The 24514-nt window shown below is 51.6% G+C and overlaps 2 protein-coding genes, 1 long non-coding RNA gene and 1 other non-coding gene across 13 annotated transcripts in view, besides 11 other annotated features; 3 read left to right on the top strand and 1 right to left on the bottom strand.

Annotated features, from left to right (window-relative positions):
• The window catches only part of CYB5R3 (cytochrome b5 reductase 3), a 31553-nt gene extending 26021 nt beyond the window's left edge, over nucleotides 1–5532 (top strand). For all 6 annotated transcript variants that reach the window (NM_000398.7, NM_007326.4, NM_001171661.1 and 3 more), the window contains one exon: nucleotides 3427–5532. In NM_000398.7, coding sequence (NP_000389.1) covers nucleotides 3427–3599 — 173 coding nt within the window. In that variant the 3' untranslated portion in view covers nucleotides 3600–5532. The remainder of the gene's footprint in view (nucleotides 1–3426) is intronic.
• Nucleotides 1597–1686: an enhancer, noted in NCBI's record as "active region_19175". NCBI's record gives its function as "activates an Ori minimal core promoter by ATAC-STARR-seq in GM12878 lymphoblastoid cells {active_cell/tissue: GM12878}" and the evidence as "EXISTENCE:reporter gene assay evidence [ECO:0000049][PMID:35858748]".
• Nucleotides 7502–7631: an enhancer, noted in NCBI's record as "active region_19174". NCBI's record gives its function as "activates an Ori minimal core promoter by ATAC-STARR-seq in GM12878 lymphoblastoid cells {active_cell/tissue: GM12878}" and the evidence as "EXISTENCE:reporter gene assay evidence [ECO:0000049][PMID:35858748]".
• RNU12 (RNA, U12 small nuclear) lies at nucleotides 7979–8128 on the bottom strand. The gene has a single exon (NR_029422.2). It is a non-coding gene; the product is annotated as an RNA, U12 small nuclear (small nuclear RNA).
• Nucleotides 8072–8131: a silencer, noted in NCBI's record as "silent region_13833". NCBI's record gives its function as "represses an Ori minimal core promoter by ATAC-STARR-seq in GM12878 lymphoblastoid cells {active_cell/tissue: GM12878}" and the evidence as "EXISTENCE:reporter gene assay evidence [ECO:0000049][PMID:35858748]".
• Nucleotides 8072–8637: a biological region, named in NCBI's record as "H3K27ac hESC enhancer GRCh37_chr22:43010741-43011284".
• Nucleotides 8094–8637: an enhancer, noted in NCBI's record as "H3K27ac hESC enhancer chr22:43010741-43011284 (GRCh37/hg19 assembly coordinates)". NCBI's record gives its function as "activates a minimal SCP1, AML or CMV promoter by ChIP-STARR-seq in primed H9 embryonic stem cells {active_cell/tissue: H9 hESC(primed)}" and the evidence as "EXISTENCE:reporter gene assay evidence [ECO:0000049][PMID:30033119]".
• Nucleotides 8282–8341: an enhancer, noted in NCBI's record as "active region_19173". NCBI's record gives its function as "activates an Ori minimal core promoter by ATAC-STARR-seq in GM12878 lymphoblastoid cells {active_cell/tissue: GM12878}" and the evidence as "EXISTENCE:reporter gene assay evidence [ECO:0000049][PMID:35858748]".
• Nucleotides 8422–8601: an enhancer, noted in NCBI's record as "active region_19172". NCBI's record gives its function as "activates an Ori minimal core promoter by ATAC-STARR-seq in GM12878 lymphoblastoid cells {active_cell/tissue: GM12878}" and the evidence as "EXISTENCE:reporter gene assay evidence [ECO:0000049][PMID:35858748]".
• POLDIP3 (DNA polymerase delta interacting protein 3) overlaps nucleotides 8489–24514 on the top strand; it is a 31163-nt gene continuing 15137 nt past the window's right edge. For 3 of the 5 annotated variants that reach the window (NR_103820.2, NM_001363052.2, NM_032311.5), the window contains exons 1-4: nucleotides 8489–8573; nucleotides 20212–20602; nucleotides 21316–21402; nucleotides 23579–23674. Coding sequence is in view for 4 of the 5 variants with exons in the window: in NM_001363052.2 (NP_001349981.1) it covers nucleotides 8515–8573; nucleotides 20212–20602; nucleotides 21316–21402; nucleotides 23579–23674 (633 nt within the window). In the remaining variant the exon portion in view is untranslated. Of the gene's footprint in view, nucleotides 8574–20211; nucleotides 20603–21264; nucleotides 21403–23578; nucleotides 23675–24514 lie in introns of all 5 variants that reach the window. The other 2 variants (NM_001278657.2, NM_178136.3) reach the window with 2 other exon arrangements.
• LOC124905127 (uncharacterized) lies at nucleotides 8593–14637 on the top strand. Its single transcript, XR_007068118.1, has 2 exons — nucleotides 8593–11459; nucleotides 14410–14637. It is a non-coding gene; the product is annotated as an uncharacterized LOC124905127 (long non-coding RNA).
• Nucleotides 8638–9181: an enhancer, noted in NCBI's record as "H3K27ac hESC enhancer chr22:43010197-43010740 (GRCh37/hg19 assembly coordinates)". NCBI's record gives its function as "activates a minimal SCP1, AML or CMV promoter by ChIP-STARR-seq in primed H9 embryonic stem cells {active_cell/tissue: H9 hESC(primed)}" and the evidence as "EXISTENCE:reporter gene assay evidence [ECO:0000049][PMID:30033119]".
• Nucleotides 8672–9001: a silencer, noted in NCBI's record as "silent region_13832". NCBI's record gives its function as "represses an Ori minimal core promoter by ATAC-STARR-seq in GM12878 lymphoblastoid cells {active_cell/tissue: GM12878}" and the evidence as "EXISTENCE:reporter gene assay evidence [ECO:0000049][PMID:35858748]".
• Nucleotides 9726–10269: an enhancer, noted in NCBI's record as "H3K4me1 hESC enhancer chr22:43009109-43009652 (GRCh37/hg19 assembly coordinates)". NCBI's record gives its function as "activates a minimal SCP1, AML or CMV promoter by ChIP-STARR-seq in naive H9 embryonic stem cells {active_cell/tissue: H9 hESC(naive)}" and the evidence as "EXISTENCE:reporter gene assay evidence [ECO:0000049][PMID:30033119]".
• Nucleotides 20875–21169: an enhancer, noted in NCBI's record as "tiled region #2357; HepG2 Activating DNase matched - State 5:Enh". NCBI's record gives its function as "activates a minimal TATA promoter and a strong SV40 promoter by Sharpr-MPRA in HepG2 cells {active_cell/tissue: HepG2}" and the evidence as "EXISTENCE:reporter gene assay evidence [ECO:0000049][PMID:27701403]".

The following is a 24514-nucleotide window of genomic DNA, read 5'->3' as shown; positions in this document are numbered from 1 at the left end:
GCCCTGGGGAGTGGGCTGGGCCGACGTTGGGGTTACCCTTGTTCCACCTGTCCAGTGGCTGAGCTGCTTGCCAAGGGAGTTGTGGGAGAGCCAAGCTGGAGGCAGCGAGTGAGGGCCGCCCCACCTCCACCACTTGCAGTGAGGTTGCCTCTGGGAGTTAAAGCGCCCTTCCCTTTTCGGCTTCAGATAGAGATGTAGGTATAAGTAATATCTCAATTTCTTCTTTGCTGTAAGAAAAGCAGAGCTCAGCCTTCCCCAGGAAACATTCTGGTGATGTTTAGCTTCAGGGCTGAGAGACTAGGGAGTGGCGGCAACTGCGGTAAATTGGAGCGCATCTGCCTGGTCCGGAGGACACAGCCCCATCCGCCGTGGGCAATCCCGCTGTGGAGTATAGCCCTGTGTGGCCAGGGCCTCTGCTTTTCAAGAGAAGCTGGGGACCTGCATTTTCTGGGAAATTTCTAAGTGTTGGAAGCACCATTTTTGAATACCCGTGTGAGCACCAGTTTGGGGTCTCATGTCCTGCCATCTGCCCCTGCTTTGCCTCCGGCACCTCCTACGGCCCCACAGTTTCCTCAGGACTAATCCATGGTGGGGGGCGCACACCCTCTGCTGATGATCCATGTCAGGGGGTGCATGCCCTCTACTGATGAGGGAGCTCTGTCCACACCACCCTCTGCTCCTCCCAGAAAGGAGCACATGGGCTCTGGGACTTGCACCACCTGGCTAGCACCTAGGAGCTGGGTCACCTGGGCCCATCCCTGAGGGAGCAGCCGCCCTTCTCAGATGACCAGCTTGGGTTCCAGGCCTCCAGGCTGAGAGACCCAGGCCTGGAGGGGGTGGTGGATGTGTGGGTTGTCACCGTGTCCGGCCTCTGGCTGGACCTGCTGTCCTGGGTCAGCCCACCCCCTCCAGGTCGGCTGCTCCACCTGGTATGCTCAGGAAGCCAACCTGACCCCGCAGCTGACCTTCCAGTGGGGGAGGCAGAGGACTAATGGGAGCAGGTTTCTTAGTAAATTATAGCGCGGTTATGGTGGCGGGGTTCCTGTGATGTGGGGGGCCAAGCAGAGCCAGGCAGCGGCTGGAGCGGAGGTCAGCCAGGGCACTGGCTCTGGGAGTCTAGCTGCTGTTTCTCTTCTACTAACGAAAGGAGCAGGCCGGGCGCGGTGGCTCACGTCTGTAATCCCAGCACTTTGGGAGGCCGAGGCAGGCAGATCATGAGGTCAAGAGATCGAGACCATCCTGGCCAACATGGTGAAACTCTGTCTCTACTAAAAATACAAAAATTAGCTGGGCGTGTGTCGCGTGCCTGTAGTCCCAGCTACTCGGAGGCTGAGGCAGGAGAATGGCTTGAACCCGGGAGGCAGAGGTTGCAATGAGCCGAGATGGTGCCACTGCACTCCAGCCTGGCGATAGAGCGAGACTCCGTCTCAAAGAAAAGAGCGTTTTATCCTGTACCCATGTGTCAGTCTAAAGGGAGGAAGTGATAGGCTGCTTTGCTCCTTTCTGACTGCAGTTTCTAATGGCATGGGCGGGGCCAGCTTGCTGCGAGGCAGGGTTTAGCCCCATCCCAATTCCAGATGAGTGATCCAGATCCCTGGTGCGTGCAGGAGCCCCTGCCCTGTGGCCAGAGCGAGGCCTGGTCCCCCAGGGAGGGGCCAGTGCTGACCCCTGGTGGCAACAGGCAGCAGCACCTGCACCACCACCACGGGACAGTTACCTGCCAATGAGAGGAATAGTTGGGTGATCTCCTAGCATTTTTCGTGTACATTTGTTGCCACTGTGACCCACAATTCAAGATTAGTTGAGGTACTGCTGTAGCATTAAATGTAAGCTGAAATTCCAGAGGTTGAGAAAGAAAGTGGTAACAGGCCAGTCTGGCTGTACCGTAGCTAAGCGAAGGATGAGGAGAGCCCCAAGGACTCCAGGCAGGGGCAGTGAGTATTTCCCCCACAGAGCCACTTTCAGGACAGGTACAGGGAAAAATACATTAAGCCATGCACGGTGGCATGCACCTGTAGTCCCAGCTATTCAAAGCTAAGGCAAGAGGATCACATGAGCCCAGGAGCTCCAGGCTGGAGGGCATTATGATCACACCTGTGAATAGCCACTGCCTGCCAGCTGGGGCAACATAGCCAATTCCTGTCTCTTAAAAACACACACACACACACACACACACACACACACACACTAAAAAGAAATCGCTGTGAAATTGAAAGGTGTCTTACATACCTGCACATTTTGTACACTAGCAGTTTATGCCCATGCAGTTTTTACAAGGTACTTTCAGATCCACTTCAGATCCATTGCCCAGCTATAAAACTATTTTCTGTGCCTCGCCTTGTTCCAGAGGGATTTTAGGAGGCTTACAAAGACTCATCTGGTGAGTCAGAGTGGCACAAATGGAAAGTGGGAGTGAAAGAAAAACAAGTGCAGGGCTATAAAATGAATGGAATCAGTACTGGGATTTGTACAAAAACGGACTATAATGTACGCTTGCTGTGAATGGGCCACACGTATCACTCCAGGCTTCCCAGCAGCCAAGGTGAAAAGGGAAATGTGGTCAGTGACTTAGCTCATGGAGTCCATGAGATAAAGAGGACCCCCTTGCTCAGCACAGTAGACTCTTCCTGGTTCCAGGGCAAGCGGGACTGCTTTGGCCCCTCCCCGTCAGGACCTTCACAGCGTGGAGTGTATGCTGTAAACTTGGGCCATCTAGGCAGGGTGTCTGTGTCAGCCAGTGCCAGCCCTCCTGGCCTGAGGCTTCAGCAGCTTTTCTCTTGGTGTTGAGGGCTGTGGGGTGGTTGTTTCTGGTTACTAAGGATAGAGACCAGCCATATCATCGTGGGCGCTCAGGGCTCGAGGGGGCAGGACACACAGCTGTGGATGAGACTCAGTTCCTCATGGGCCGACATTCTTGGGGAGTCACAGTGGGCTCATGGAGGTGGGGGCAGTTAGAGACTGTCACCCTGAGCAGCCTGGGGCAGAGCACCAGCCTGGGGACCTCTGGATCCTGGAAGGTACATCTCAGTCGTGTCCCTGCCTCATTGTGTGATCTTGAGCAACTCAACTCTGGGTCCTCTGGGCCTCAGTTGCCACATCTGTAAAATGGGATTCATATTCCCCGCCCTGTCCACCCACTGGGTTGTTCCAAGGGACACCCCGGAGGCCAAATGGAAGCAAAAGGCTTTGCAAACTGTAAAGTGCAGTCAGGGGAACCATGATGGGCTTTGTACACTGGTTTCAGGCTGCAGGGCCTGAGGCCATAGGCTTGAGTCAGGGTTGGGGGCAGGGGGTCCTGGTGACAGTTTGCTGGGATCAGCCTCTCCATTCTTCAGCATTTAAGGAATTCACCGCCTAGGGTTGGTCGGTCAGCAGGTTGGTGACCACACAGCCACACGTCAGCTTACCTGGTCTCTCACCCCACAGCCTGGGACTACGGCCAGGGCTTCGTGAATGAGGAGATGATCCGGGACCACCTTCCACCCCCAGAGGAGGAGCCGCTGGTGCTGATGTGTGGCCCCCCACCCATGATCCAGTACGCCTGCCTTCCCAACCTGGACCACGTGGGCCACCCCACGGAGCGCTGCTTCGTCTTCTGAGGGCCGGGCACGGTCACACGGCCACCCGCCCCGCGCACCCCACGCCCTGTTCACGCTCACCCAGTCACCTCCCCACATCGCACACTGGGGCCCCGGGTTCAGCCTGGCCTGCCCGTGCCCTGGTGAATCACCTGGCTGAGCAGTTCCCCTGGAGCCCCTTCGGGAGCAGGGCTGTGTCCCAGATGGGCCACGGCTGAGCCTTCAGAGTACGTCCTGCCTGGCACTTACTGGTCCTTACCAGAGACGCCCAGCCCCATCCCTGTCCTCATGACCCCTCGTCCACCCCCCACACACACTATAAGGCTGAGGGCTGCCAGCAGCCCCGTCTGCCCACCATTCCCGGCCGTGGACCATAGTCGGGATGTCAGCAGACACACATGGGCAGCCCAAAGCTGCAGGTGCCAGGGCCCACCCCAGCCTCGCCTGTCACCCCCACTCCCGCCTCAGGGCCAGGCCCAGGCCTCACCACCTGACGCTGCATGAGACATTGACACCAGAAAGCCCTCTTGGGGGCACTGCTCCCTACCCCAGGGCCCTGGCCAGCCGGGAGCTTGGCTCTCCTCTGGCTAGAGTGGGAAGAGGGGGCTGGCCATGGGGCCCTCCCAGAACCTCAGCATTTCCTTCCAGCCCATCCAAACACTGAGGCAGCCTTGGGGAACCCCGAGCTGGGGGGTTGGCAGCCCACTGCACCGCCTCAGGGTTTTGGGGTCCTGGGCTGGGGCCACCATCCCTGATGGCAGAACTCCCACAACCACATGTATTTATTCCTCTGTCCTAAACCGTCCCCTCCTTCCCTCACCCCCAGCACAGGGGGATTCTGAGCAGTGCCTCTTGTCTGAGGGACATATCAGTGACCTCGACGTTGCCTTTAGACTACAGTTGTGTTAGCCTCTTGCGTATTGGCTTTTTCAGAGTCATTTATGAGCAGAAAAAAAAAAAGTAAAACTTTGCTAATATTAACCCTTCTCTAGCTCCTCGAGGGTCTGTGACCTGCAACACAAGGGGTGGGGTCAGGAAAGGGCTGGGGAAGACCTAGCATTTTTTTTTTCTTTTTTTTTTTTTTTTGAGACGGAGTCTCCCTTTGTCACCCAGGCTGGAGTGGCATGATCTCAGCTCACTACAACCTCCACCTCTCGGGTTCAAGCGATTCTCCTGCCTCAGCCTCCCGAGTAGCTGGGACTAAAAGTGCCCACCACCACACCCAGCTAGTTTTTGTATTTTTTTTTTTTTTTTTTTGAGACGGAGTCTCGCTCTGTCGCCCAGGCTGGAGTGCAGTGGCGGGATCTCGGCTCACTGCAAGCTCCGCCTCCCGGGTTCACGCCATTCTCCTGCCTCAGCCTCCCAAGTAGCTGGGACTACAGGCGCCCGCCACTACGCCCGGCTAATTTTTTGTATTTTTAGTAGAGACGGGGTTTCACCGTTTTAGCCGGGATGGTCTCGATCTCCTGACCTCGTGATCCGCCCGCCTCGGCCTCCCAAAGTGCTGGGATTACAGGCGTGAGCCACTGCGCCCGGCTCCAGCATTTATTTCTGATGTATCTTTGTGGTAGAAAATTTGGAAAGTGCAGAGAAGTATACACAGGAAGAAAAATTCCCAACCCCCAGAGGCAAACCAGCTGAAACCACGCAACCCCAGTCACCCCAATGCACCGCGAGGCTGCTGCCTCCTGTCAGGGTCAGATGAGCCTCGAGGCTCAGGAAAGTCAGAGGATGCCATCTGCATGGTGGTAAATTACAGAGGTGATGAGGCAAGGTGGGTGTGGGGCTGTTCTTAAAACGGGGCAGCAGGAAGGCCCCAAGGAGATGGATTTGGGCTGGGACGGGAAGAGAGAGCTGGCCATGCTGGGGTGGGTGGGTGTTCAAATGGTGGAAACAGCAGACGCAAAGGCCCTGCCGTTGGAACCAGCTTGTGGAATAAACTTTCAGAAACAGATCGAAGAAGATAGGTGGCTGGAAGGGGCAGCAACGATGAGGCTGGAGAGGGAGGCGGGGCTAGGCTGGTGCTCCGGAGACTTGCTGGGTGGCCCTAGGAGCACAGTGAGGCCAGTGTGGCTGGAGGGGAGTGGGGAAGAAGAGGGGACGGGGCAGGTTCACAGGAAGGAGGGCCCAAGACCAACCTAGGGGACTAGGAGAGCCCTGTCTCCTCTCACTTCGCATTTTCCATTCTGTCTCTGGCCACCTCACTACCTACAGTGGCAGGAAAAGGAATCTCAGACCCAAAATGGCCTTCACACTGTGGCGGGGGACTGCTAGCAATGGACACGCGTTAGGTTTCATCCTCATTTCTGTCCCTGTCTGAGGCTGAAAGGCACAGGATTTGAACACAGGCCTGCCTGAGCCCACAAGAGGCTGCCTCCTGGGAAAGGGGACGTGGGAAAAGGGGATCAATTGGACCCGATTCCCACCCTCTCCAGGTCTGTTTCCCCATTCAGAAAATGGGAGAGGGCTCTAAGGCAGCGATTCTCCATACAGACTCGACACCTTTATTTATTATTTTTGGGACGGAGTCTCGCTCTGTCTCCCAGGCTGGAGTGCAGTGACATGATCTTGGCTCCCTGCAGCCTCTGCCTCCCAGGTTCAAGCGGTTCTATTGCCTCAGTCTCCGGAATACCTGGGGATTACAGGCGTGCACCACCACACCGGCTAATTTGTTTGTATTTTTAGTAGAGATGGGGTTTCACCATGTTGGTCAGACTGGTCTGAAACTCCTGACCTCAGGTGACCCACCCTCCTCGGCCTCCCAAAGTGCTGGGATCACAGGTGTGAGCCACCATGCCTGGCCAACACCTTTAAAATAACAGTTGTAACGGGCCCTTTACGCTGCAGAATTCACAGGCAGTATCACCTACCTATACGAAGAATTTTAAAAATCAACACAGCTCTAAATGAGTTGTAAAAGAACAAGAAAGGAGGCCGGGTGCTGTGTCTCATGCTTGTAATCCCAGCACTTTGGGAGGCCGAAGCAGGTGGATCACCTGAGGTCAGGAGTTCGAGACCAGCCTGGCCAACATTGTGAAACCCCCGTCTCTACTAAAAATACAAAAATTAGCCGGGCGTGGTGGCGTGCGCCTGTAATCCCAGCTACTCGGGTGGCTGAGACAGGAGAATCGCTTGAACCCGGGAGGCGGAGGCTGTGGTGAGCTGAGATTGTGCCACTGCACTCCAGCCTGGGCGACAGAGCGAGACACCGTCTCAAAAATAAAAATAAAATTGTCCTCCGCATCTGCCCTACACTGCCCAGCTGACCCCACTGGCCAGCCTGTCCTCCTCCCACCTCTTGCGCGTTCCTCCTGGCACGCCTGGAAGGGAGGAAAGGCTTAATGGTCCCGTTCTATGGGTGAGGAAAAGAGGTCTGGGAAGGAGCCCGGCGTGGTGGGGCGGGCCTGTAATCCCAGCTACTCAGGAGGCTGAGGCAGGAGGATTGCAGGATCGCTCTTACCCAGTTTCTTTCTTTCTTTCTTTTTTTTTTTTTTTTGAAACGGAGTCTTGCTCTGTCGCCTAGGCTGGAGTGCAATGGCGCGATCTCGGCTCACCGCAACCTCCGCCTCCCGAGTTCAAGCGATTCTTCTGCCTCAGGCTCCTGAGTAGGTGGGATTTCAGGCCGTGCCACCGCGCCCGGCTAATTTTTTTCTTTCTTTTTTTTTTTTTCAGTAGAGACGGGGTTTCTCCGTGTTGGCCAGGCTGGTCTCGACCTCCTGACTTCAGGTGATCCACCCGCCTCAGCCTCCCAAAGTGCTGAGATTACAGACATGAGCCACCGCTCCTGGCCTCTTACCCAGTTTCTGCACGGAGCTCCTGATGCCTGATGGCCAAGAGGACATAACCCCACCTGTTCTAAGGGCATGGAGTGTATTTTTAGAGTGATTGGACAAAATATGTGCCGAACACCTACGTCAGGTCTGGCGCATGCTGGAGGCTGGGGTTATATCAATGCAAAAGCCATTCCCTGTATTTAACACGTAAATGAATTAGTCTCTTTAACTCTCCCAACGCCCTATAAATTATTTGCTCCATTTTACATATTAAACGCTGTCACGAACTGAGCTGCTGTGTGAGGCCGGGGCCGGACTTATCTTTCTGAAGCACAGAGAAGCGGTTATACGCAGAAGTTTGGGAGAACTGGGTAAGGCCGCACACATGGAAATTGCCAGTTTCGTGGGTCCCAACGTCAATACTGTGGGCAACCTTAGACCGGCTCAAAGCGCAGCTGGGGACGGTGATGAAGTGCAGAGCGTCCACAGCCAGCGACAAGACTGCCAAGCAACTGGCAGCCTGAGTAACGGAGAAAACAACGAAAAAAACGCATTCACCACCTACCAACAAGAAACAAAAAACACGACCACCCCACAGTCAGTCTACTTTTTAGGCGTGAATAAGGTCGGGCAGATCGCAACTCCCAGGCATCCCGCAAAGTAGGCGGGTCACCTTGAGGGCGACCTTTACCCGCTCAAAAATTCGTCTCACATTAGCAGTGAGGATTCGGGCGTCACCCCGAATCGTTATTTTCCTTACTCATAAGTTTAAGGCATAAGGACGTTTTTAGTTTATTTCCTAGGTAATGAATTCTATTCTCATTAGGCGTATGATGACTATCGTAGTTGACTGTTGAGGTCATGATCCAGTTCCATTGAAGTTTGTCTCACTTGTTAATAATGTATTTTGTTGCTTTTCATTTAATTTTTTCCCTCGAGGAAAATAAATAATTCATAATGTGCCGAACTTCCGTATGCAGATGAGCAGCCAGCACCGCGAAGGCTCACGGGGAACGTCCCCGCCCCTTCCGGTTCTTGCCTGCTTTGAGCTGGCTGTCGCGAGAGTTGGTCCGCGGACGCCGGAAGTAGTTCGTCGCTCCCTAGCGGCCGAAGGGGCGGGCTCGCGGGGTCTCGACTGCTTTCGGCTTGCTCGGCGGAGCAAGATGGCGGACATCTCCCTGGACGAACTCATCAGGAAGCGCGGGGCGGCGGCGAAAGGACGGTGAGAGGCCTTTCCTTTCTTCGGGGTTTAGGGTCCTCGGCCTAGTGGAGCTCGAGGCGGGGGAGGTAGCGATCCGGGAGCGACGCGGAGGACCGGGTGCGCCCGCCCCCGACCACAGCCGCGCTCCTCATTGGCCGGCTGCCGCCGTCCCCGCCGTGGCCCCGACCGCCCGCCCACTGGCCGAGGCGCAGTCCCTCTGGCGGCCCTGGGAGGCCGACGGGGCCGCGGCGGGGACAGGGTGCCGCCTCGTGGACCTGAGGGGCTGCCCCCTGGGGCCCCCGCGTTCCGGGGTCCTGGGGTCTCGGCGGCGCAGCCTCCTTGCCTGTGTGGACTGGCATTTGGGCCCCGCTCCGTGATCTCGGCGCTGCCTGGTCTCCACCCATCTTAGAGTTGAGACAACCGAAGTTTAGTAGCGGGGAAGTGACTTGCTCCGACCGCCGAAGCTGAGGCGCAAGCCCAAATCCCCCTGCACGCGGCCCCTGTTAACACTCGCCTCTCTTTGTGCGGCGTTTTAAGTTTTCTGAGCCCTTTCATATACACGATGCCTCATTTAATCTTTTACAGTCCTGTTGTCTGCTAGCTATTCATGTTACCCACCTTTTACTGATGGGGAACTTGAGGCTGGAAGTGGTAGAGTGACTTGCCCGAGGCCACGGAGAACTGAGCGGCGGGCTGAGCGCGATTTAATTGCTGGCTGAGTTGGCCTCCTACATGGGCTTGAAAAACTGGTGTGTTGGGCAGGAGATTGGTTATTTCCTTAGGGAGAAGAAAGTGCTTGAGCTGGCTGAGGAGCCATGGAGGTGATTTGCAGTCATGTCTCCCAAACTTCCCCTAGACCCTTAAATGTTGTTAGTCATTTCAAGCCTTCGTGAGCTGAGTTCATCTGTATGAAGAAGTGAGAACTTTGCCCAATAGTTTCCCAACACACATTAAGTTTAAATGTCTTTGTAAATAGCCAGGATGTAAATATGTTAGATATTGTTTTCTCAGACATTTGTTCTCTCAGCAGATGTTTATTTTTATTTTTATGTTTTTTTTGAGACGGGGTGTTGCTCTGTCGCCCAGGCTGGAGTGCAGTGGTGCCATCTCGGCTCACTGCAACCTCCGCCTCCCCGGTTCCAGCGATTCTCCTGCCTCAGCCTCCCAAGTAGCAGGGACTACAGGTGTGCACCACCACGCCCGGCTAATTTTTGTATTTTTAGTAGAGATGGAAGTTTCACTGTGTTGGTCAGGCTGGTTTCGAACTCCTGACCTCAGGTGATCCTCCCGCCTCGGCCTCCTAAAGTGCTGGGATTACAGGCGTGAGCCACCGGCCCGGCCATTCCGCAGATGTTTATTAATACCACCCGTATGCCTGTGGTTAGGTTTTTCTCTTGATGTCTGAAATGTATCCCTCACCTCCTTCCCCATCCTGGACACTTGTATCAACTACAACTGCCACCACCACCTCATAATTCGCAGCCAGCACTTACCTGGCTTGTGGTTCGTAACGGGCACACATTAGTATTTGTTTCCTCAACTACTGACTGTGAAAGCTCTCTCAGATCTCCATCTAGTGACTGATGTGAAGCTGGTGCTGGCTCCTCTGGCCACTTCTAAGTCCATCCACGTTTTGTAGGTTCCTTTGGAAACGACAGAATGATCCACCCCAGGTTCTTCTCTCTCTGAGGTCACTCCGCCAGTTTCTGACTGCAGGTGGACTGCACTGTAGTCTATTTGATCTCTATGTTTTTGGTTTTAGTGTGTGCAGAGTTTTGTGTTGGGCAGTAGGTGGGGCTGCAGGAATGGGGGGTGGTTATGTGTGGATCCACAGGAACAGGGGCCTTGCAGCTGGATACACCTGGCACTTGCCACTGTTGGGTTCTGTTTCCCTGGCCAGGGGAGTTCTGAACTAGGCAGTTTCCTCACTTGGAATGGTGATTCCTGGTTGAGCGGGATTAAATGTGAGAAGGGTTTTTTTTGTTTGTTTTTTTGAGAGGGAGTCTCACTGTATTGCTCAGGCTGGAGTGCAGTGGCACAGCCTTGGCACACTGCAACCTCTGCCTCTTGGGTTTAAGTGATTCTCCTGTCTCAGCCTCCCAAGTAGCTGGGATTACAGGTGCCCGACACCACGACTGTCTAATTTTTGTATTTTTAGTAGAGATGGGGTTTTACCATGTTGGCCAGGCTGGTCTCGAACTCCTCACCTCAGGCCGAACCCGCTCGGCCTCCCAAAGTCCTGGGATTACAAGCATGAGACACTGCGCCGGGCCAGAAGGTATGTTTTAAAGTTTGTGCCATGTGGCAAGTGTTCAGCAAAGGCTGGTAATTATCTTGGACCTTTCCTTAAAGGCATAGAAGCACACAACGCCCCTGGAGCATAGGTGAGCACTGGGACTCTAGACGCAGACCACCAAGCTTCCAATCCCTGCTTCTCCCACTTTCCCTAGGACCGTCTGCAAGTTACTTAACCATTCCTTGCCTTTCTTTCCTTATGTATAAAACCTGAGTAATATCTACTTTATTAGGTTATTGTTAGGACTGAGTGAATTAATATACCTGAAGTGCATTGAAAAGTTCCTGACAACGGGTACTTAAGTGCTTGATAGACGTTAGCTTTCGTTATTGTCATTGAAGGCTTCTTAAAGTAAAGGAGTAACATGATTCAATTTTTAGCTTGAAAATATTTCTTTGCCATTGTATGGGGATTGGATTGGGGCAAAGAGTGCAGGCAGAGAGACTAGCATGGAAGAACCTGGAGTGCATGCTGAGTTTGAGTTAAATCTTCTGGAAACTCCGTTTTTATCTCACCTGCACAGCCAACAAAGAAAAACTAGATCCAGTGGTCCCTGTTAAGATAATGTGAAAGATCTGAACAAATTCAATGAACAGATGTCATTTCCTGCAGTAAGTTTATTTTTATTTTATTTCTTTATTTTTTTTGAGATGGAGTCTCACTCTGTTGCCCAGGCTGGAGTGCAATGGCATGATCTCAGCTCAGTGCAACCTCTGGCTTCCAGGTTCAAGCGATTCTCCTGCCTCAGCCTCCCAAGTAGCTGGGACCATAGGCATGCGCCACCACGCCTGGTTAATTTTTTTGTATTTTTAGTAGAGGTGGGGTTTCACCATGTTGGTCAGGCTGGTCTTGAATTCCTGACCTCAAACGATCCACCCGTCTCAGCCTCCCAAAGTGCCACCGTGCCTGGCCATACATGCTATTTTACATACTGCCTAGAAGAATCTGCGTACTTGGAACTTTGGTTTTAATGTTGCATGGATATTCCAGGAAGAATTTTGTTGTTTAAGAAAGCTTTTTTCCTCTTAGTAGAAATAGCCAAAGATCCAGCTTGTGGAAGTGTAAATAACCTCTTTCCCCACCACTCTGCTCACTTTGTTTCCTGTGATCCCAAGGATCACATTTGTGGAATGTGCTTGTTCTCAAAAGCAGCCATTCTGTTTTGTGTTCCTCACACCTTGTGAGTCAAGAAAAGGGTCATAGCTGGATGCAGTGGTTGCTCATGCCTGTAACTGCAGCTGTGTGGGAGGCTAAGGCAGGAGGATTGCCTGAGTTCAAGGCTGCAGTGAGCCATGCTTGCACCACTGCACCCCAGTCTGGTTGACGGAGCAAGACCTCATCTCTTTAAAAAAGAAAGAAAAAAGTCATTACCATTATTATTACCTAGGCCTCCAATTAATTATTAAAAGATTCCTTGACTAATGGGAAATGATTGAACCAGAAGAGGGTGGTTTTGAGTGATACCTTCCTCCATGGTGAGGTGCTATCTTTCCTCACCACAGCACATCTCCAGTGACTTTAGTTGTGAAAGATCCGTAGAGAGTCTCCTCAGGATAGCATTAGGTACCAGTTGCAGTGCTGGCCTGCCCCTCATGTTGGTTTTTTCCTTTATTTATTTGAGACAGGATCTTGCTCTGTCATCCAGGCTGGAGTGCAGTGGCAAGATCACAGCTCACTCCAACCTCTGCCTCCTGGGCTTAAGCAGTCTTCCTGCCTCAGCCTACCAGGTAGCTGGGACCACAGGCATATGCCATCATGCCTGGCTAATTATTTTTGTATTTTCTGTAGAGACAAGGTCTCGCCATGTTGCCCAGGCTGGTTTCGAACTCCTGGACTCAAGCAGTCCTCCTGCCTCTGCCTCACAAAGTGCTGGGGTTACAGGTGTGAGCCACTGTGCCCAGCAGTTTCTTCCTTTAGATATGAGGGCATCCCCAGTTAAGTCAGTTGACATGTCCGCTTTTGTTAGTTCGATGAGTTTAACCCTCAGCGGATAGCTTTCTGTCAGCTGCCTCCAAGCAGTTCAGTGTGGCAGCCTTGAATGTGCTGGAGGCTGGAGTTGAGCAGCTCTCTGGGCCAGACGCCTCATCTGGGGAGTCCTTGGAGCTGGAAGTGGGAGGTTGTTGGGGGACAGGGTGGATTGTAAACTTTGCAGTTCAGCCCAGGACTCTGGTCCTGGTACTGACTGCTTGTTTCCTTGTTGAAATAAGATAAAGGAAATAAAGACCTAAACACAAAAGGGAGGAAATGAGTTATTACATAACTCTAGGGAACGAATTATGTTTTAAAATGAAACATCTGCACAAGACTCTTGGGTAAGGGGATAGTATTTTATTTTATTTATTTATTTTTGAGACAGAGTTTTGCTCTTGCTGCCCAGGCTGGAGTGCAATGGCGCGATCTCAGCTCACCGAAACCTCCACCTCCTGGATTCAAACGATTCTCCTGCCTCAGCCTCCTGAGTAGCTGGGACTACAGGCATGGGCCACTACGCCCGGCTAATTTTTTGTATTTTTAGTAGAGACAGGGTTTCACCATGTTGGCCAGGCTGGTCTCAAACTCCTGACCTCAAGTGATCCGCCCATCTCAGCCTCCCAAAGTGCTTGGGATTACAGGCGTGAGCCACCTCGCCCAGCAGGGGATAGTATTTTAGTGTCTTGTTTTTCTTTGTGTCTCTTAAACACCTAATTCAGAGTTGACCCTCAGTCATAGTTAGAATTAAGCTGTTTTCTCTCTATAAAAATGACCTAAACACACACCTAAACGAACACCCCCTAACCCAGAAGCTTTTTTTGTTTGTTTTTATAAGACGGAATCTTGCTCTGTCACCCAGGCTGGAGTGCAGTGGTGCGATCTTGGCTCATGGCAACCTCTGCCTCCCATAACCCAGAGGATTTTAAACCCATGGGTTAAAATCTGCTTTATAATAATCCAGGGCCCCACTTCATGGGCCTGAATCTTTTGGACTGGACATCTGTCCAGAATGGGCTGTAGCCCTGCCCTCCCCAGACAGAGCCAGGAGGGTGAAATATTCCTATAGCCCAGACAGACCCTCCCTGGTCATCACACCTATGCCAGGTTCCCGTAGGGGGTATAGAGGAGAGAATTTGGGGTCCAGGGAACGTTTGCCTTCTCACCTGCCAGCAGCGCTCTTGCCAGGACCTCGCGGAATACCTGGTGAAGCCCTGGAAGCAGTTGCAGAGCTGTAGTTTCGGTGCGATGGAGGTGGGGCATTACGAGACTCAGTCAAAACCTTCCTCCTTCGCCCTCCCAAACATTTACTGAGGATAAAAGTGCAGGATGTGTTTTGGGAACGTCAGTAGTCACTGCAGTGGGGAGTAAGGCTGCAGCCATAAGCTGGAGCCAGAGCCGAGGCCCCCCCAGGGGTTGGGCTTTGTAAAGGAGCCCCCAGCAGTTCTAGAAGCGGGAGGGTAACATAATTGAGTCTGTGTTTTAGAGACCTACCCCTGGCAGGAGTGTTGATTTGAAAAATTTCCGATGACTAATGCCTGCCTGAAACCAGTACTGCTGCCTGCTGGGATGAATAGCTGTCTTTTCATGCAGGAAGAGCAGCTGTGATTATAAAAAGCCTGAACACTGAAGCCCCCTCAAGCTGTTCACGAAAGAAGTTGAAAGCACTGGTGGAACCAGGGAACTGAGTGCATCAGATTGAGGGAAATAGCTTACTCCCTCCCACCGTGAGGAGCTCCTACTACATCCTCAACTACCGTTAACTCCCACCCCTAAATGTGCCTTTTAGGCTGTTCAAATAGATAAAAATGCCAGCACAAAGCATCTTGGTGGTCCTTCCTGCCAGGCAGGCATTGTGGTATGCGAGTTCTCAGTGCGTGCACCACCCGCTCGCCTCGCTGCTTGTGCTCACCCTTTGGTCGCTAGAGAGTGCTCCGTATCCCTGGGCATGACCGGAGTCCTAAGATTTCTTCAGCCTGCGGACTGTTTATCCTTCCTTTATATATATGTATAAATTTTTAAGGGTTTAACAACATATTGAAACTGAAATACCAGACAATAATGATAAGGAAGATTGTTTCTTTTTGTTTTGGTGGTGGTGGTTTTTTTTTGTTTTGTTTTGTTTTGATTTTTGAGACAGGGTCTTGTTCTGTCTCCCAGGCTGGAGTCCAGTGGTGTGATCTTGGCTCACTGCAGCCTGGACCTCCTGGGCTTAGTTGATCCTCCTGCCTTGGCCTTCTGAGTAGCTGGGACTACAGATGTGCATCATCACTTGCAGCTAATTTTTTTTTGGGGGGGGGGGTAAGGTTATAGATTAACAGCATCCCAAGGCAGAAGAATTTTTCTTAGTACAGAACAAAATGAAGTCTCCCACGTCTACTTCTTTCTACACAGACACAGTAACAATCTGATCTCTCTTTTCCCCACATTTCCCCCTTTTCTATTCGACAAAACCGCCATCGTCTTCATGGCCCGTTCTCAATGAGCTGTTGGGTACACCTCCCAGACGGGGTGGCGGCCGGGCAGAGGGGCTCCTCACTTCCCAGACGGGGTGGTGGCTGGGTGGAGGCGCCCCCCACCTCCCGAACAGGGCGGCTGGCTGTGCGGGGGCTGCCCCCCACCTCCCTCCCAGACGGGGCGGCTGCCGGGCGGAGACGCTCCTCACTTCCCAGACGGGGCGGCTGCTGGGCGGAGGGGCTCCTCACTTCCCAGACGGGGTGGCCGGGCAGAGAAGCTCCTCACCTCCCAGACGGGGTGGCGGTCGGGCAGAGACACTCCTCAGTTCCCAGATGGGGTCGCGGCCGGGCAGAGGCGCTCCTCACATCCCAGACGGGGCAGCGGGGCAGAGGCTCTCCCCACATCTCAGACGATGGACGGCCGGGCCGAGACGCTCCTCACTTCCTAGATGGGATGGCGGCCGGGAAGAGGCGCTCCTCACTTCCCAGACTGGACGGCCGGGCAGAGGGGCTCCTCACATCCCAGACGATGGGCGGCCAGGCAGAGACGCTCCTCACTTCCCAGACGGGGTGGCAGCCGGGCAGAGGCTGCAATCTCGGCACTTTGGGAGGCCAAGGCAGGCGGCTGGGAGGTGGAGGTTGTAGCGAGCCGAGATCACTCCACTGCATTCCAGCCTGGGCAACGAGCACTGATTGAGCGAGACTCCGTCTGCAATCCCGGCACCTCGGGAGGCCGAGGCAGGCAGATCACTTGCGGTCGGGAGCTGGAGACCAGCCCGGCCAACACAGCGAAACCCCGTCTCCACCAAAAAATACAAAAACCAGTCAGGCATGGCGGTGCGCGCCTGCAATCCCAGGCACTCGGCAGGCTGAGGCAGGAGAATCAGGCAGGGAGGCTGCAGTGAGCCGAGATGGCGGCAGTACAGTCCAGCCTCGGCTCGGCATCAGAGGGAAACTGGGGAGAGGGGGAGGGGGAGGGAATTTTTTTTGTATCTTTTGTAGAGACAGGGTTTTGCCATGTTGCCCAGGCTGGTTTCGAACACCTGGGCTCAAGCGATCTGCCCGCCTTGGCCTCCCAAAGTGTTGGGATTACAGGCATGAGCTACTGCTCCTGGTGTTTTTTATTTTTTAGAAGTTTTTTTCTTAACTCTTCCAGCTCTGCTGTTTACTCTTGACCCATGCTTATTTAATTGATGCTTGAACCAGGTACAGTGAAGTTCAAGTCCATTCCTCACCCCTTAGTAGCTCTTGGGATAGTTAATCTCCTTGGTTCTGAGTTTCCTCATTTATAAGATGTGAACAATAACCTGATTCACGGGGTTGTAACATTTAAAGGACGTCTAAAGCTGGGCATGGTGGCTCCATACTTAGAAGGCTGAGGCAGGAGGTCAAGGCTGTAGTGAGCTATGATCACTGCACTCCATCCTGAGCAGCAGAATGAGATTCTGTCCTTTTAAATTTTTTAAAATATGTTTTTGAGACAGGGTCTTGCTCTGTTGTCCAGCCTGGAGGACAGTATCTCGATCCTGGCTCACGGCAACATTGCAGTCTGGGGCTCAGGTGGTCTTCCTGCTTCAGCCTGTGGAGTAGACTCATGCTGCCATGCCCAGATAATTTTCTGCTTTCATTTTTATAGAGATGGAGTCTCACTATATTGCCCAGGCTGGTCCTGAACTCCTGGGCTCAAGCCATCCTCCTGCCTCAGCTTTCCAAAGTGCTGAGATTACATGGTGTGAGCCACCATGCCCAGGGAGTCTCGCTATGTTGCCCGTGCTGTTCTCGATCTCCTGGGCTCAAGCCATCCTGCCATTTGGCCTCCCAAAGTGCTGAGATTACAGGCATGAGCCACTGTGCCCAGCCTTGTTTCTTAAAAAAAAAAAAAAGTCTGTGTGAAAAATTGTCAACCTGTAGTGAGTAATACTCAGAAGTTTTCATTGATCATGTCCTTTATTTTTTTTGAAACAGAGTCTTGCTCTGTCGCCCAGGCTGGAGTGCAGTGGTGTGATCTTGGCTTGCTGTAACCTCCATCTCCTGGGTTCAACTGATTCTCCTGCCTCAGCCTTCCGAGTAGCTAGGATTATAGGCGCGTGCCACCACGTCTGGCTAATTTTTGTATTTTTAGTAGGGACGGGGTTTCACCATGTTGGCCAGGCAGGTCTTGAACACCTCACCTCAAGTAATCCATCAGCCTCGGCCTCCCAAAGTGCTGGGATTACAGGTGTGAGTCACTGTGCCTGGCCTAGCTGCAAGTTTCTGAGGTCACCCCAAAGCATAGTCCCAGTTTGTCTATGGCTTTGTAGGCCATGGAACACGAAGCCTAGGGTAGCCCAGTCCTAGGGAGGGTGGATGCCATCTACCACATACAACCATTTCTTTCTAATCGTGCATGCCGACCCCCTGAACACTCCCTTCCTTTGGCCCTGCTTTCTCTAGTGCCTCCATCTCCCAGAGTCCTCACATTAAAAAAATAGGACAGGAATGGCCAAGTAAACCTTAAGCCTTATCTGATTAATTGTATAAATGACCCTTCTACCCAGAACCCACTGGAAAATCTTTAAATCTGAATTTGCCACTCCAAAGAGAAAAATGATAGCATGCATCACTGCCTGTTTTAGTCCGTTTAGGCTACTATAAGAAAATACCCTAAGCTGGGTAACTTATAAAAAACAGAAACTGCCGGGCGCAGTGGCTCACGCCTGTAATCGTAACGCTTTGGAGGCCAAGGCAGGCGGATCACGAGGTCAGGAGATCGACAGCATCCTGGCTAACACGGTGAAACCCCATCTTTACTAAAAATGCAAAAAATTAGCCGGCCGTGGTGGCGGGCGCCTGTAGTCCCAGCTACTTGGGAGGCTGGCGCAGGAGAATGGCATGAACCCGGGAGGCGGAGCTTGCGGTGAGCCAAGATTGCGCCACTGCACTCCAGCCTGGATGACAGAGCAAGACTCCATCTCAAACAAAACAAAACAAAACTGAAGAAAAGAAACTTCCTTGTCACAGAGAGTCTGGGAAGTCCAGGATCAGGATGCTGGCAGATTCCATGTCTGATGAGGGCCTGCCTGCTTCCTGGTTGTAGATGGTCTTTTTGCTGAGTCCTGACATGGTGGAAGGGGCCAAGGAGCTTTCTGGGGCTTCTTCCTTATAAAGGGCACTAATCCCATTTGTGAAGTCTCTGTCCTCATGACTTAATCACTTCCCAAAGGCCACCACCTTCTACCACCATCACATTGCAGATTAGGCTTCAACAGAGGAATTTTGGGGGGACACAGATGTTCAGTCTGTATTACCGCCTTAGGTTTGGTACTGGCATATTGGAGGCAGCAGGTGTTTTTCCATTATTTGAGGGATAACAAGATGAAGGTCCACGTTTGCTTTTATTGGTACCAGGTAGACTCACCTTTGGCTGCACTTCTGGTATTCATTAGCAGAGGAACTGACAGCCAATCTCACTCCAGCCACTGGAATGCAGCAGTGGGAGAGTGCCAGTGACTGACCCAGTATGAGAGATGCCTCCTGGGAGGTCCAGGCAGTGAAGTGGGAGGCAATACAGGAACTCGTTTATGCAGCAGAGTTTACCCTCTAACAGCAGGTCAGAGATCCTCAACATGGCTCTTCTCCAGAATCACCCATGGAGTTAAAAATGCAGATGGCCAGGCCTCGCCCCAGATTTTGGATTCAGCATCTAGGGTGGGATCTGGACAGCTCTGTATTTAAGAAGCTCCACAGGAGTTTCTGACACTCAGCCAGGGCTCGATGCTGCTTAGGAGGTGCTGGGCCCTGCAAAAGGACTGAACCCCATTCTCCTCCCCCCGCCCCACCCAGGGTAGGGAGAGAAAAAAGGAAACAAGCAGGTATAATAATAGGCACAGAGGAGAGTTGGCCTGGAGAAATCCGGGAGGGTTTCCCAAAGAGCACCCCTTGACATAGGAGTCCGCAGGCAGAGCGTCTGCCGCATGAGTGGCCGTTGAGGGTAGCTATTGTAGAGAGGCCTGAGGGTGGGAGGCGACAGAAGAAGCCCAAAGACCTTGGGGAGGATCTCCAGCGCTATACTCAGGAGGGCCTTCTGTTCACTTTCAAGCCACTGTAGGCCAACAGAGGAACCCAAGAAAGAGACCGGGGCCTGTTTATGGAGTTTCATTCATTTCCAGTTAAAAAAAATATTTTATTTTAAATTCAGGGGGTACATGTACATGTTTGTTCCATGGATTATATTGCATACTGGTGAGGATTAGGTTTCTAGTGTACCCATTACCCAAATAGCGAACCCTGTACCCGATCATTTCCAATTTCAGTGGTTTCTGTATTTGATATTTTTGCTATTGCAATTTTTTCTTTCTTTCCTACCAAGTCTTTGTGTTTTCTGTTTTCCTCTAGCTCTAAGCCAGACCCATATGTTTGCTCTCTTGGTCTTAGCCCAGTAGATGGTGTCTGCCTTCCTTAGAGACACTCTTTGTTAATCATTGAGCCTCTCCAAACCTGCTTCTCCCACTGTAAAGTGGGCATAGTAAGTACTTCTCAGGGTGCTGAGAGGGCTGAGTGAGAACATGGATGGGGATGGGCCTTGGAAACTAAAGTTACTCCTCAGATGAGTGGGATTAGATTTGGTGGATGTTTATTTTATTTGACTGGCATTGTTGGGAAGTTATTGTCCATGTTGGTGTCTCAAGACACGTGGTCTAGGAAGCAAAACACTCTTAACTAGGAATAAAACTTGCCAGCCCCTCTCTCTTAATTTTGCTTAAAATGCAAAGTTAAAAGCCATCATGAAACCAGGAAAGGAGTCATCATGTAGGCATAATCGTTTATTCAATCACAGGCAAGGAGCCGCTTTCTGATTCTCCAGGGCCTCCTCTGTCCCCAGTGTTACCACAGTTCCGCTTTCATAGACTGCTGTAGATACCCAGATCCACTTAATATTGATTGCAATTTATATTTACAGGCTTAATGCCAGACCGGGAGTTGGAGGTGTCCGATCTCGAGTTGGGATCCAGCAAGGCCTTCTCAGCCAGTCAACACGCACAGCCACCTTCCAGCAGAGATTTGATGCCCGGCAGAAGATTGGCCTCTCAGATGCCCGGCTCAAACTGGGAGTCAAGGATGCCCGGGAGAAGCTTTTGCAGAAAGATGCCCGATTTCGAATCAAAGGGAAAGTGCAGGATGCCAGAGAGATGTTGAACTCTCGCAAGCAGCAGACCACGGTGCCCCAGAAGCCCCGCCAGGTTGCTGATGCCCGGGAGAAGATCAGCTTGAAGAGGAGTTCCCCTGCTGCCTTCATAAACCCACCCATTGGGACAGTGACCCCTGCTCTGAAGCTCACCAAAACCATCCAGGTGAGTTGTGGCTTTTGTCATGAATTCCCAGAAAGCTAGTAACAAAGGTAGATTTAGAGGCAAGGTGCCAGGAGTGACTGGGCAAAAATACTATCCTCTCAAGTGTTGGCATAATACAGACTTTGCTCCTTACAGAGGCTTTAAGTACGTTATAGCCAAGGAACTATACAAGGAAGGAAAGGTATTATCTCAGTTCTAAAAAAAAAGAAAAAGGAGGCCCATAGAAATTTGGTGACTTTCCCAGGTGAGATACTGGTGGAAGAAAGAGAGAGGAAAGGACAAAAGATTTATTGAGCACATGCTATGTGGCAGGCCCTTAATATCTGTGACCTTACAGTCCTCACTCCACCCCCAGGCCCAGTGGGATTTGGCCCCTAGTCCAAGGCCCTGGCCACCCTTCACAGCTGCCACCACAGAGGGAAAGGAAACAATGTCATTTAACCTTCATAGCAGCTTTGGTAATAGGAACAGCAGCGGCCACAGCAAACATTTACTGAGCCAAGTCCATTAAGCCCTACATGTGCGTTACCGGCATGGTCTCTGGATTGATGATTCTTCTGTTACTTCCTACTGTGGAGGATAAGGCCCTCTGTAGTGCCTTTTACCAAAGACCAAAGCTGCATGCCCACCATGTATCAAGTTCAGTAACCCCCTTCTTCTAGAGAATGCATGTGGACCCTGTGGGGTGGATTCTGACCACTGAGTGTTTCCAGGTTCCACAGCAGAAAGCCATGGCACCACTTCATCCCCATCCTGCCGGAATGAGAATCAATGTTGTCAATAACCACCAGGCCAAACAGGTAGAGTGAGTGAGTGAGAGAGAGAGAGAGAATCTGTGTGTACATAGCGAACATGTAGGTGTGCACGTGTTTTGATGAGGCCTACTTGGGTGGATGGACTGAGGCTTGCTCAGTTGGTAGTTCCCAGTTGGTAGTATTGGAGGCAGGGTTACAGCGAACTTTTTGCAATTTGAGTTTAAAGAAGAAATTTTTTTTATTTTTTTATTTTTTGAGACGGAGTCTCGCTCTGTCGCTAGGCTGGAGTGCAGTGGCGTAATCTCGGCTCACTGCAACCTCTGCCTCCCGGGTTCAAGTGATTCTCCTGCCTCAGCCTCCTGAGTATCTGGGACTACAGGCGCGTACCACCACACCCAGCTAATTTTTGTATTTTTAGTAGAGATGGGGTTTCACCATGTTGGCTAGGATGGTCTCAATTTCTTGACCTTGTGATCCCCCCGCCTCAGCCTCCCAAAGTGCTGGGATTACAGGCGTGAGCCACCACACCCAGCCAAGAAGAAACTTCTTAATAGAGGAAGGGAGGCATAGGGGGCAGAGAGGCTAAAAAAAGTTTTGTTTGTTTTTTTTAATTTTTTTACGCTTTTTTTTTTTTTGTCTTTTGTTTTGTTTTTTTTTCCTTTTTCTGGAGAACGGGGTCTCGCTATATTGCCCAGGCAGGTCTCGAACTCCTGGGCTCAAGCTATCCTCCCGCCTCTTAGCCTCCCTGAGAGCTGGGATTACAGGTGTGAGCCACCGCGCCCGGCCTAATTTTTTTAAATAAAAGTTCTATGTGCTTAATATAGAAAACTTGCCAAAAAGTCCCTCAAGTTCCTATTCTCCAAAGCCAGTCACTGTTGAAATTTTGCCATAGTTCCTTACATGTACGCTTCTTTTTTTTTGATACAGGGTTTCACTCTGTCCCCCAGGCTGGAGTGCAGTGGTGCAGTCATGGCTCACTGCAGCCTTGAGTTTCTGGGCTCAAATGATCCTCCCACCTCAGCCTCCTGAGTAGCTGGGATCACAGGTGCATACCACCACATCTGGCTAATTTTTGTAGAGATGGAGTCTTGTCATGTTGCCCAGGCTGGTCTCGAACTCCTGGGTTCAATCGATCCTCCTGCCTCTGCCTCCCAAGTAGCTGGGATTACAAGCATGAGTCACCGCGCCTGGCTAATTTTGTATTTTTAGTAGAGACGGTGTTTCTCCATGTTGGTCAGGCTGATCTCGAACTCCTGACCTCAGGTAATTCGCCCACCTTGGCCTCCCAAAGTGCTGGGATTACAGGCGTGAGCCACTGTGCCCAGCCCCAGTCTGTTTTTTACTTAACTCATAGTTGTGGTTGTGGTTATATATTCTTTTTTTTTTTTTGAGACCGAGTCTCGCTCTGTCACTCAGACTGGAGTGCAGTGGCACGATCTCGGCTCACTGCAAGCTCCGCCTCCCGGGTTCACACCATTCTCCTGCCTCAGCCTCCCGAGTAGCTGGGACTACAGGCGCATGCCACCATGCCCGGCTCATTGTTTGTATTTTTCGTAGAGACGGGGTTTCACCATGTTAGCCAGGATGATCTCGATCTCCTGACCTCGTGATCCGCCCTCCTCGGCCTCCCAAAGTGCTGGGATGACAGGCTTGAGCCACTGAGCCCAGCCATGGTTATATTCTTATCCAATTTTGTATCATTCTTTTTTCACTTTGTAACTCAAGCATTTCTCTGTGACATTTCATATTTACTGTACATGTTTTAGTAACTGCAAAATCTATATAGTTGGCATTCCAGTTTTATTTAAACCATTTTCCTGTCATTTTCACTGTTAGAAATCCTTCTGCTGTGAACATCTTTGTAAATAAAGCTCTTTCTAGGGTTTGGATTTATTTCTGTAGGTCATATTAACAAGGATGGACTTTCCAAGCCAAAGGATATAAAGAAACATTTTAGGGACTCTTGGTACATACTGCCCACTGGGAAAAAGGGACTTCTGATGTATCTGGAAGTTGTAGGACTTTCACTGGGTCCTTGCTGACAGGGAGTTAGCCTGTGAAGACTTGGGCCCCAGTCTTTCCAGGCACCGTCACCCCTGTGCCCACTTCTCCTTGGTCCCTTTGTTTCTCCAGCAGCCATTTCCTTGCCATGCCTGTTCTAGATGTCTGTTGAGGGCCCAGATGCCACATTTGCTTATATTTCTTTATGTTATATTCTCAGAATTTATATGACCTGGATGAAGATGATGATGGTATAGCTTCCGTTCCTACTAAACAGATGAAGTTTGCAGCCTCAGGCGGCTTTCTCCACCACATGGTATGGCATTTCATGTTTTCTTACACTGCGTGTCTGATCAGGCAGGTGGGAGAGGTCGTGTTGAATAGAACCTGTTGTTTTTTTTGTTTTGAGACGACATCTCGCTCTTCTCCCCCAGGCTGCTGGAGTGCAATGGCGCAATCTTGGCTCACTGCAACCTCCGTCTCCTGGGTTCAAGCTATTATCCTGCCTCAGCCTCCCTAGTAGCTGGGATTACAGGCGCCTGCCGCCACGCCCAGCTAATTTTTGTATTTTTAGTAGAGATGAGGTTTCACCATGTTGGCCAGGCTGGTCTCAAACTCCTGACCTCAGGTGATCCGCACGCCTCGGCCTCCCAAGGTGCTGGGATTACAGGCGTAAGCCACTGCGCCCGGCGTGAATAGAGCCTTTCAATGCAGAAATATTTCTTTGTTTGGGCCGTAAGATTTTCAGAGCTGGAACTAGTCCATTCCCTTAGTTTTATAAACGCTGAGACACTGGGGTGCCTTCTGATTTGTTCAAGGTCCCACAGCAAGTGAAGTACAGGGCTGCAGCTCCTAGGTGCTGTGTTTGAGACACTATAGGGAAAGTGTGAGTGATCCCACAGTGGGGAGTCTGTGTTCTTTCCTTGGTGGCTGGCCATTCTGCATGCTTCGTAACCCTTTGTGGTCAGCAGCTCTGGCGCTGCTCTTGGAGTCTGGATTCCGTTGGTTAACATTAGCAGGAATACATCTCACCTGATCTGTGGGCTCTACCAGGTGCAGCCTGCATGCAGGGAAAGCTTGCTAGGCTAGAGTGTTGGTCAGACATCATGCAGAGAAGGAAAGAAAACAACATCTGGGATCATCAGGGAGGTCCATG

Source organism: Homo sapiens, chromosome 22, assembly GCF_000001405.40.
Source record: "Homo sapiens chromosome 22, GRCh38.p14 Primary Assembly".
Taxonomy (NCBI): Eukaryota; Metazoa; Chordata; class Mammalia; order Primates; family Hominidae; genus Homo; species Homo sapiens.
This window is presented reverse-complemented; position numbering and strand designations above follow the sequence as displayed.